At 38.0% G+C, this 12390-nt stretch overlaps 1 protein-coding gene across 33 annotated transcripts in view; it reads left to right on the top strand.

Moving 5' to 3' along the window:
* Positions 1-12390, top strand: part of C12orf42 (chromosome 12 open reading frame 42) — a 516167-nt gene that overhangs the window by 101107 nt on the left and 402670 nt on the right. Inside the window, exon 2 of one of the 33 annotated variants that reach the window (XM_047428804.1) lies at positions 6388-6503. The exons of the other annotated variants lie outside the window; for them this stretch is intronic. The gene's annotated coding sequence lies outside the window, so the exon portion shown is untranslated. The remainder of the gene's footprint in view (positions 1-6387; positions 6504-12390) is intronic. 33 annotated transcript variants of the gene reach the window in all.

Here is a 12390-nt window from a genome sequence, read left to right as displayed (position 1 = left end):
ATTTTATAGGTCTGATTGTCTTATAGAAAATGATACATTTCTCCAATGCAGTTATGCTTTGCTTTTACCTAAAAAGCTTACTTTACTATAGATTTAGTCTTTGCACACATATATTTTGTGTGTGGCTTTTAGGGGACATTCTCATTTGGGCTGGTAAAGAAGGAGTGCTACAGCAACCACCTATGATGTTACTGAGATATCATAACAAACATTTTAAATAATTTCTTTGTCTGGACTTAGGCTATCTTTTATAGCTTATCAAAAATGGAAATAGGCTGGGTGCAGTGGCTCACACCTGTAATTCCAGCACTTTAGGAGGCCAAGGTGGGTGGATCACCTGAGGTCAGGGGTTCGAGACCAGCCTGGCCAACATGGCAAAACCCCATCTGTATTAAAAAATACAAAAAAATTAGCCGGATGTGGTGGCGCATGCCTGTAATCCCAGCTACTCAGGAGGTTGCGACAGGAGAATCACTTGAACCTGGGAGGCGGAGGTTGCAGTGAGTGGAGATCGCACCATTGCACTCCAGCCTGGGCAACAAGAGCGAAACTCTGTCTCAAAAAAAAAAAAAAAAAAAAAAAAAAAACCAAGCAAAAAACAAAACAAAAATGGAAATAACATCCAGCTTTCTATATGATTGTTAGATTGATTAGCATACCTGAGTCTTAAACTCTGCTGTATCTACCCTTGAGTCCAGACTAAGTAGATGTGCCAAAGAGTCCAATATTATGAATGTGATTATTTTTCTTTGAAACATATTATATTTGCATAGCACTTTGCAACTTACAAAGCTCTTTTCTAAATATTTTTCTTCTTCAGATCCTTAAGATAACCCTGGGATGAAAAAGGGGCAGATAATTTTATGACCAGTTTTCTAGTTGTAGAAATGGAGATTCTGAATGGTTAAGTGCAATGTATCGGATACTTGATGTGCACTAAGTCATTTAATCCAAATCTCAGTGTTACAAAGGAGGGAACCAAAACTCAGAGAAGTTAGGTGACTTATTCCAGGTCACACAGCTAATCAATTCAGAAGTGAGTCAAGAATTCAAGTCTCTAGATTCCTATATCAGTACTCTTTCTACCACACTCTGCCACCTCTGTTCCAGTTCCATAAGTATAAATGTAGACATCACAAACACAGTATCATTTATGTTCACATGTCTGTACATGTTATGGAAATATTTTATAATGCAAAGTGGGTCTGGAAGATAGTCTATGTACATTTTTTTTTCTCATCAGAAATGTATTATTCAACTTCTTAGCAGATCTAACATTTCCTGACTTTAATTTCTAAGCCCATGACATCATCTGTCCTCTAAAATGGACAATGTAATGCAGGATTATGTTGTTAGGGGATTATAAAAAGCTATTTGTCATCTTCAAAAGTAAGAGGGAGCTCTGATGTAGCTTAAAAAGTAAAGTTTGTTGCCCGAGCTAAGTGATTAGACTGCCAGCGGTCTTTTGCATACTCTTCAAGCATATGTTTCAAATGACATATTTGCATATGTGTAAGAATATAAAATAAAATTTCACCATAATTCAATAAATGGGGTCCAAAAATTTTTATTCTCATAAATTATTGTATTGCTTTTTTGAAGGTTAATAGAAGACAGTATTTTTAACCAGTCTGTACTGTCATAAAGCCCACAGACATAGAGAATCAACTGAATGCTATTAAGTTGTTCTACAACAAATCTACAACAGACTATAGATTGCACAGAGAAAATCCCAGATGATCATGGATAGTCGCTTCCTAACTTGCCTCTGACCCACTCCTCCCTGCAACAAGAACTGAAGCTTGTTAGAGGATGGGAGTCAATCACCAATGACCTTACACAGTATCCAAATTTACACCCTCTCAAGATTTTGCAAAATATGACATATGCATTTATGCTCACACATGCATATTTAGTTCCCAACTTACAGATGGGATTTCTTACTAAAATCTGTTTATAAATAGGTTGTTTATAACTCAAAACACATTTTTTCATAGAAATTCTCCATCCAAAAACATTTACTAAGTGCCCAAAGCTGAGCCCTCAAGCAGCTCCCATTCTTCTGGTTAGGTTCTGAAGCCAACTTCAGAAACCTTTAAGGGCAAAACTGCAGGTCCCATTGCACAGAAAAGCAGTACTGGAGAGCGAGTCCAAGACTCCACCCTCAGCCTCAGTACTGGACCCTACTCAGCAGAGAGCAAGGTGCTGACCAAATCCATTTACTCTTGCTCCTGTGCACACAGCTGGACTGCATTTCCCAATGTCTCTTGCAGTTTGATGCGACCATGCAACTTGTTCTTGTCAACAAATACGTGTGGAAGTGATAATTACCATGTGCCGACCTGGCCCATAGTAATCTTTCCCGGGAATTCCTTTGCTTTCAATCTCTCTCTCTCTCTCTTTTTTTTTTTTGTTCTGTCCAATGTTTGGAAGAGAATGTCCACCAGTCTCTCTAGGGGTTGACCAAACAAAGGTCCGTGAATCATTGTGTAAAGGTTGCCTGCTATGTGCCACATGGATAGTTGGATATACAAAAATAAATTTCAATTGTGTAAAATCACTGAGCTTTTGGTATTTATCCATCAGAACAGCGAGCCTTAATTAATACTCTTTATGAGTCCTGTGCCCTTGGAGTTAAGCCACTTTGGACTGAACTTTTCAGAAAGATGGGGATGGCAGTAAAGGGGTGCAATATAGGAGGAGGCTCTGGGTAGAGGGCAGCTTTCAAGGTTGCTGAGGAGGCAGGCATCTTGCAGTAGAGGTATGGAGAATGACAGAGGAAAAGGGTTCTCAGAAGTGGGTGATAGCTCAGCCATGAGTAAAGCTCAGCTGTGGCAAGGCCTCCAGGTAGAGCAAAGCCAATGTCAACAGAAGCTCTGTCTACACAGTGTGCTTCACATAAAGACCTTGTTAATTTGCAGTTTGGCTTTATCTAAGTGTCCCTTTTTGAAATATCTAAGTTTTCATTGAAAGTTGTATCTGCAACTGGAGAAAATTGCAACCTATTTGTGTTAGGCCATTTTTGCATTTCTGTGAAGAAATATTTGAGGCTGGGCAATTTATTAAGAAAAAAGGTTTAACTGGCTCGTGTTCTGAAGGGTGTACAGGAAGCATGGCACCAGCATCTGCTTCTGGTAAGGCCTCAGGAAGCTTACAATCATGGCAGGAGGTGAAGCAGGAGCAGTCATCTCACATGGTGAGAGTGGGAGCAAGAGCAGGGGGAGGTGCCACACACTTAAAACAACCAGGTCTCCGGTGGATACACTCATCACAAAGGGGATGGCACTTAGCCATTCATGAGGGATTTACTTCCATGATCTAAACATGTCCTACAAGACCCCACTTGCAACACTGGGATTATATTTAAACATGAGATTTGGAGGGGACAAATATCCAAACCCTATCACTAATTAAAAAGCAGTGGCAGCTATGATAATTCACTTTTTAGATCTGTGGTGAGGCCTTGCTTCTCAAGGGCTGCTCTCAGCCCGTGGCCAAGTATGGCAGAGAGACTGAGATGAGCCCTTCCTGGGAAATACGGGATCCCTCTTATGGCCAACTTTAGCTTGAGGACTCCTTCAAGTTGTAGATATTTTCTTAGACTGCATGCCAGTCTAGGAAGCTTCCATACACCCTTTCTTCTTTCCTTTCCTCTCTCCTTCCCTCAGGGTCAGATTTGTCTTTTCTCACATCTCCCACAGATGTTTCCCCTAATACGTTTTTTTTTTTGCACATTTAATACATCTTGGTGTCTACTTCTCAGAGAATCTGAACTAACCCAGAGGTCATTCTGTTATTCTAGTCTTTCTGTTTGTGACTGTAAAATGGGACAAATTCTCCTAAATTGTGAGAGATCCTGTGGTCACCTGTATAGTTCCCCAACTAGGTGAAGTTCAGTGATAGACCATGAGTGTTAGCCCTTGAGCAGTTTATAGCATTATAGCAAAGGTGTGGTTACCCAGGCCCCTGTGGTCCATCCAAGAAACTGGACAAGTTGCAAGAGTCACTGGAGACAGAACTTCTTGCTTTTAAACACAAGGATTCATGATGGGGATGACAGAACAAAAATGAATGAACATTTACTAAGATCTAGCTGAGCTGGATGTTTTCCATATGGGATTTCACTGGATTATTAAATGAAAATTCATTTCAGGTAGATATTTTTATCTCAAAGTGGGGATGCGATGCAGAGACAGTAAGTAAGGTGCCCAGCATCACACCCTGGGTAAGCGCAGAGCTGCTATTTGATCTAGTTTCGCCTATCCTATAACTCATCATACTTGTTCTGTTTCACCACATGCCTTTTCAGAGAGCAGTCTTGCAGAGAATTCTTGGAAAAGTACTATTTTTTTTTTTCTACAAAGAAAGATACAAATCTCCTAGTTTCAGAGTCTGTGGAGAGGGTAAGTTCTCCTTCTCTGGTTTGTTGGATTTGTTCCTGCCCCCAACGTCTTCTTTATGTGAAATGTCTCATAATTAAAAAGTGCAGATTCTATACAGACACAGAGTCTTTTCAGTATAGACTACATTTCCAAAAGTGGTTATTATGCATGGATGTGCTTGGAGAATTAGATTTCTGTGGTCTTGACTTTAATTGCCCTGTCTAGATATGTGATTAAGCTTTTGTTCTTTGTTTCAAGATGACCAGTCAATGGAGTTGTGTAGTTTTAATTTTATCTGAAGTGCAGTTGGAGGACAGGCAACAGAGCCTAATGCTTTTTTTCTCCTCTCCTTCTCAGTTACGATGACCATTAGTTCAATATTTTCAGGTCTTATATGAAATAACATCCTGTTATGGCCACATTTTTTAGTCCAATGTGAAGTTTTTAATTTTAAAAAGGTTGGAATATAAAGGGGGTAAGAAAGATTGAATTTTACTTGTGCTTTGACTCCCCCCACCCCCTGCCAGGAGGGCAGAGCATATAAACGTGAAACTTGTGGGAAGTGGAGAAAAACAGTTTAATACAAAATTGTAGGTCCCTGTTTTTGAACATCTGTTACCATGGCAACTGATTCAAATGCTTGAAAGTTAAGTTGCTATTTAGGCAACTTAACTAGATGTTTTTGACAGTATGGGAACTAAATGTAATTTAAAAACAGACACATGTAGATCCCCATTCAGCTGACCTGGCTGACACAGCAGTAAGACATTGGTCTGCGAGATGGACCATCTTCCTGAATACAGTGTACAGGGATGTACAGCATCCCTGATGAACAAACACAGGGCATTATTAGCTTCATCTTTTCTGTACTTTCAAGCCACAGAGGAAGGGCAGACTAGCAATTTTTGGGGTATAAACATGGAAAAAGAAAAGTTAATTTCCAAGAGAAACACAGTGTATACCCTGCCAGTAGCTTCTTTTACTAACTGCCTTAAAAGCTACTTTCTTCCCCCTTGGGAAAATGATACAGAAATTCGGTTATATCTTCATGTTTAGTTCAAATGACAAACTTTCAGAACTATTCCCTTATCATCATATGCTTTAGATTGAAAGTAGAAAAATAAATAAATAAATAAATAATTCCAGTGTTTCAAAGTAACAAAGTCCAAGTTCTGTGAACAGAGTAGTTCTTCAGTATATATTTGTGAACTGAGGAAAGATCACAAAAGGGAGAGGAAACATCATATTCGGGTGGTTTTTTTCTCTCTATTATGCATGGGTTATTTAAGCTTCTTAGAAATTGCATTTTCAGAACAGTGTTTGGATCAAATAATCTTCATGATCCTGATGAAAATTTCAAAGCAGATTATATTATTTTAAAAATCAGACAAAGAAAACATAAAGAACAAATGGCTGCATAAAGGATTTTCCTGGATTGTTTATTAATTTGATTTAGTAAAGTAATACATAAGAAATACCCTTGAATTGGTGGGGAATTTCCAAAAGAAAGAAGATAGATGGGTTCAGAAGGAAGAGGAAAACCACAATGCAGTTTCTAAGGTCTACATATAAGCCTCAACCTTTAAGCAATAGTTGATTTTCATGGAAGTATATAGACAGTACCACATATACAGGCAGACATCAGTGGAAATATTCAATGTTAATTTACTTTATATTTTGCTAATAATTCTTTTATCATGCGTGCTATGTGCTGTTTTCATAATAAGAATGGTAAACAATGAGTTAAAAGATTCCTTTTCCTGGTGCAGCAAATGTGGCAATTCTAGCACACTAAAGCAGGCACAGAAGGTTTTGTATTGACTTTTGACAAATTTTGAGAAGCCAGTTTTACTTCCAGAAAATGTCTTATGTCAAAAGCCTTTATGTTCTAAGGGGCTCTGTTTTAGAGACATAAGTGACAACATCTGAAGTAGACAGGGAAGTGCAGGACAGGTCTCTGGATGGACCTTGGTGACCCAGCTTTTTCCCCCTTTCTTGCTTACAGTTCTCAAGAATAACTGCAGAATGTGCTGGAAATGCAACATTCTGAGATAAAGAGGAACTGGTTGGGCTTCATTTCTGTCCCTCCCACCACAGAATGACCTACAATGCTTTAGCCCAGTGAGTGCAATTGCCCCGGGATATAAAACCCAAGGTATTGGGTTTTCAGGTTTCCTTAGCTGCAGTGAGATGTGGGGTATTTGCAGACAAGACTCCATCCACCCTCAGAAACTTTCCTGAGACTTGGGGGATCAGCTTGCCGTAAATCCTGTGCTTCTATTGTTCCCTGCTGCCTATGTATGAGTAATGAAGTTGCTTCCCTTAACTTGTTCTGTGAGAGTTCTGTGTCATGGAACTCAAGCAGGAGATAGAGTAATTGGTGCATGGTGAATCTGATTCTCAGGAAGAATATGTAGGCCTGAGATTCTTAGTAAGTGAAATTTATCCTTGGTAGAGCAAAAAGGAATATTGTATAAGTGGTTGTTTTGAGTAGAAAACAAGCAAATGTTTTAGAAATCTCTAATATATCTCAGAAATACTTATTCTAAGCCTGGCAGCATAAAAATTAATAAAGAAGTTCATTTGTTTCTTCTTCTCCTGCTCTCTAAGAAGAGAAAAGGACAAAAAGATGCATCAGTTTATTCTTAAGGTAAAATCGATGAAAGTAGAAGAGGAACCTCACACCCCCAGGGATCTTGTGGTACAGTGATAAGACTTCTTGGGCAGTGTTGAGAGGAGCAGAGAGGAAGTGGTGACCAAGATGGTGATGTCAAACCAGGATGCATAAGAGTTTATTTGAGGTAGAAGAACAAAACAAACCTAAGAGATCAGAGAATGAAATTTTTAATGAACATTGCTTTGGACCACGTTTTTCAGCCCCATTAAAACTTGGAGAGTGTTATAAAGATAGACATTTCTGCTTTTATCACCCTTCTTTAAAAAACAGCATCACTCCAGAACTGGAATACAAGAGCCATGGCTTTACAAACTTTATACAAATCTCAGATTAATTCAATTGAACAAACATTTGAAAGCGTGGGAGATTGCAGCACATCCTCAGTTGCAGCATCATCTTGAATAGAAGTCTCCATGGCTTCCTTTTACATTGACTCTCTATATAGCCACTTTGCTATATAATCTGAAGGCTCTAAAGTTGAGAAAGACAGAGTTCTTTCCTCTGAGAGGTAGTAACATAGTAGAAAGACTTACATGTTATCAGGTATGCTACTACTATTACTAATAACTTATATTCAAGTGCTGTGCTAACTGCTTTACATGTGTTAACTCATTTAATCTTCACGAAAACCTATGAAGTAAAGTAACTCATTGTATCCTCATTTAGGGAATAGAAAGTGAATAACTAAAAGGTGAAGGCACTGGCTAAAAGTCACTTACCTAGTAAGATATAATGCTGGGTAAATATATACAGGAGTGTGAGACACGTGCTGTTCAAAGTCTCAAGATTGTTGTGACATGCTGTGAACACAAAGAAGAAAAGCTATGAATCCTAACTGGATAGGAATTATCAGTGGAAACAAAGATGGAATGAAATAAACCAAGAAACAAGCTGATGATTTTGGCAACTGGGCAGTTTTTGATGACATTTAAGACAAGTTTCAGCAAGACAGTAGAAGCAGAAACCAACATCCAATGGGCTAGGGATAGAATTGTGAAGTAACTTTCAGCAACTCTTATGAAGTCTGGTGATGATAAGAAGGAAAGAACTGGTGACAGAAACCTGAGGAAAAAGTAGATAAGGTCTTTTTTGGATACAGAAATTTGAATATATTTTTGGCTGGTGGGAATAGGGAAGATGGAAATATCACAAATAAAAAGAGAAATAGGATGCTTTCCAAGATGTATTACATAGTTTCCTGTCTTTTTCAGTAGAATATAAGAAAGATTTAAAACATCTTTCTTAATGACTTAAGATTATTATCATGAATTTTGATTAGTATTCCCTGTTCTAATTCTGAAATGAGGTTTTCAAGTCCTGTTGAAACTCCAGTTTAGTGAAATTCTGGCATTCCTAGGAAAGCTGTGGTGGCTTGTGTTTTAAGAAGAACTGAGCACAAACTATAGACTTCCTCTCCTGAAATAAATGCCTAGAAATTTAAGAAACAATATAAATATGTAACCATCTTCAAAAATAAGGAGAATAAATTATAGAGGACCAGAGCAGGGAAGAATTCTAAAAAGAAGCAAAGCATATGGGATCAGATTAAGGAAACTATAGCTCAGGACCTTGTACGATGGACTGTGGCTACAAAAGGTGAGTGCATGGTTGATGGTAGGGTGGTTAGATGAGATATCACAGTAACAATTATCCAGGTGTTTAAAATTGGTGTTTTCTCTCTTTTTATTGGGTCTGTCCTGCCTCTAAGTGCTTATGTTGAGTAAAGGAGTTTTGTTAGAGAGACAAGGTGGTGAACAAGACAGAAGAAAGAAGCTATATGTTTAAGAGATAAGCCATTGTGTGGAACAAGTACAGAAAGTAATTTAACAGGAAATCTGATTTATTAAGTTGAGTGAAAAAATCAAAAGTCACTCAATATTGGAAAAAAATTGCAATCAAGAAGAGGAGTTTAAAAGCTTAATGAATATTAGAAGAATTTACATCCGAGGAAACAGCGAATAAAGCCATGACAGCAAGGCTTTACAACGTATATAATTAATATTATTAGGGAAATAAGGAGCAAAAGGTTATTAGGGAGAGATAAAGATAAGAGCAGAAATTAATGACATAGAAAATAAACAGAAAAGCTCATTAAACCAAAAGTTAGATTTTTGAAAAGATGAATACAACAACAAAAACTTTGCCAAAGTTGATAAAAAATAGAAACAAGGAAAGAATAAATGAAAGACTGAAGGTGCAAGCAAATAATATTATGAATGAAAAATAAGACATAATTACAGACACAGAGATGAGTATGACAAAGATGTATTAAAACTTTATGTTAATAAATTTGAAAACTGGTAGAATGAAAAAATTCTAGAATAATATAACGTTAAAAACCTCTTATATAAATATAACTTTATATAAACCTTTATATAAGATAAATAATAATCTAAGAAGAAATAGAAAACCTGCATAGTCATTAAAGAAATAAAATTAATGCTTTAATAAGTCCATTAACAGGGAGTTAACACTTCTTTTATGGGAGAGTTATACTGTGCATTGAGAGAATTGATTATTCTAGTCCTAGGCAAACTTCTCCAGAAAATTTAGAATTATCAAATTGATTGCAAAAAAATTTCCTTTTCTTTTTTTTTTTGATATACTATAAGTTCTAGGGTACATGTGCACGACATGCAAGTTTGTTACATATGTATACATGTGCCATGTTGGTGTGCTGCACCCATTAACTCGTCATTTACATTAGGTATATCTCCTAATGCTATCCCTCCCCGCTCCCCCCACCCCATGACAGGCCCCAGTGTGTGATGTTCCTCTTCCTGTGTCCAAGTGTTCTCATTGTTCAATTCCCACCTATGAGTGAGAACATTTGGTGTTTGGTTTTTTGTCCTTGTGAGAGTTTGCTGAGAATGATGGTTTCCAGCTTCATCCATGTCCCTGCAAAGGACATGAACTCATCCTTTTTTATGGCTGCATAGTATTCCATGGTATATATGTGCCACATTTTCTTAATCCAGTCTATCATTGATGGACATTTGGGTTGGTTCCAAGTCTTTGCTATTGTGAATAGTGCTGCAATAAACATACATGTACATGTGTCTTTATAGTAGCATGATTTATAACCCTTTGGGTATATACCCAGTAATGGGGTGGAAAATATTTCCTTTTCTAATTGTTCATTCCTTCCTAAATCTATGCCATTTGCCATATGACTTTGTAGCTTCTCCTATCGAGAGGTGGAATCTATTTCCTTAATTCTTGCATCTGACTCAGTTTTATGATTTATGTGATTTACGATTTTATGTGATTTATGATTTTATGTGATTAGAATGTGGTGGAAGTGATGGTGTGCTAGTGGTCAGCCTGTGCCTCCAGAGCTCTTTCATGCTTCCATGCTTTTGGAATCCTGACACCATCATGCAAACAACCCCAGGCTAGCCTATTAGATGTGAAAAACCTGTAATCCAGTCATCCCTGCCACTTCAGCCCATAGCCAAACAACTGCTGGTCAGGCGAGTAAGGACATCCTAGATGATCTGGTCCTCAGCTGATTTATCTGTTAAGCACAGACCTATCAGTGAGCTTGGATAAGTTTGGCTTCATCTGGCCTAAATCAACAGAAATTCTCAGTGGACCCATGAACTCCCGAGCAATAATAAAGGCTTATTGTTTTAAGTCATTGCGTTTTAGGGTGGTTTGTTACATAGCCATAGTCACCTGATGGAAAAATTGGTACCTAGAAATTGAGTGCTGTTATAACAAAAACCTAAAGTATGTAATATTGGTTTTGGAACTGGGCTACAAGCAGAGGCTGGGAAAATGGCAAGCAAACTGGCTGCAAAACCTGGAAAAGTGGTGATAACATTGTTATTGGAGGCTGGATAAGGGTCACATATGCTATGTAATAAAGCAACTGGCAATACTATTGCCTGAATTAACTTTCCTAAGGGGAAAATAGACCCAACAAATGTTTGGGTTTGGCTAAGTTTGTTTCCAGGCAGAATGTTGGAGAGTCAGCTGATTGCCCCAAACTGTAGATAATATGCTATGGCAAGAAATACATGAGTTTAAGAAAGAACTGGCCAGTTTGCAAGCATAATTTATAGGGCACATAAAGAGACCAGAATTGGCTGGGTTAGAAAATAAAATGGGCTGGGTGCAGCAGCTCATGCCTGTTATTCCAGCACTTTGGGAGGGTGCGGTGCTAGGATCCCTTGAACCCAGGAGCAGAAGACTAGCCTTGGGAACGTAGACAGACCTGTCTCTACAAAAAATAAAAAATAGGTGGGCACACTTGTGGTCACAGCTACTTGGGAGGCTGAGGTGGGAGCATTGCTTGAGGCTAGGAGGTTGAGGCTGTAGTGAGCTATGATTGTGCTTCTGCGCTCCAGCCTGGGCAACAGAGTGAGACCCTGTCTCAAATAAATAAACAAATAAATAAATAAAATGAAAGAAAAGAAAAAGAAAATAGAAAATATTGTCTCCATTTGGCAAATGGTATTTAAAATAAAATGGAACCTGGAGGCATAGATAAATTTGAAGTTGTGCTCAACTATTTGTTGAGACCTCAGCATTGCGGTGTCCTACAGCAGTCTGACACACCCAAAGTGACAATGATATAGAGAGAGGAAGAGGGAGATGTCTTGAAAACAACTGTGCGTATAATTTTCAGCAAATACATTTAAATGGAATCAGATGTATAAAAGGTCCAGGAAGTTCTTAAGTGAGTTGTATGAAAAAAGCTTTATCAACCTGAAATTGAATAGTCTGAGATTGGTAAAATTCCAAAATGGCCTCTGGGCCCCCAACTTTCTATGGACTGAAAGCAGGCTGAGAAACTTACTCAGCTGCCAGTGCAATCTACTTTTATTTCAAGAAACCTAGGCTGTGATGAAAAAGGAATCACATCTCAAAGGACAGAGCCAAGATTCATGGTAGAACCAGTGGGTGGAGCAAAAAACCATGAAGAACAGCAGATTGGGAGCCACTCCTGGAGAGTAAAACTGGAGTCTAATTAAGGACACCTTCTTAGGGGAGACCGTGGGGTTGACCTGGCAACAATTGCTCAGTAAGATTTTAGAATTGCTGTGGAACAATGCTGTGAATGCATCAATAGATAACTGATGCACTGCCCCTTCACCTCAAATTATTTGTCATGCAAGGATAATCTTGATATCAAAACCAATGAAAGAAAACATGAGAGAAAAGTTATAGAACAATTTCATGAACACTGATAGAAAATACTGATCCAAAATATTAGTAAATAAATCAAGAACACCAAGTTTATCCCAGTAAAGCAAGAGGAGATTAACATTAGAAAATCAATTAGTACATAATCTTGATATCAAAAATTAAAAGGACAGTGCAGAA

Source organism: Homo sapiens, chromosome 12 (assembly GCF_000001405.40).
Source record: "Homo sapiens chromosome 12, GRCh38.p14 Primary Assembly".
NCBI classification, from domain to species: Eukaryota; Metazoa; Chordata; class Mammalia; order Primates; family Hominidae; genus Homo; species Homo sapiens.
The sequence above is the reverse complement of the archived record's forward strand: the minus strand, read 5'-3'. Positions and strand labels throughout refer to the sequence as shown.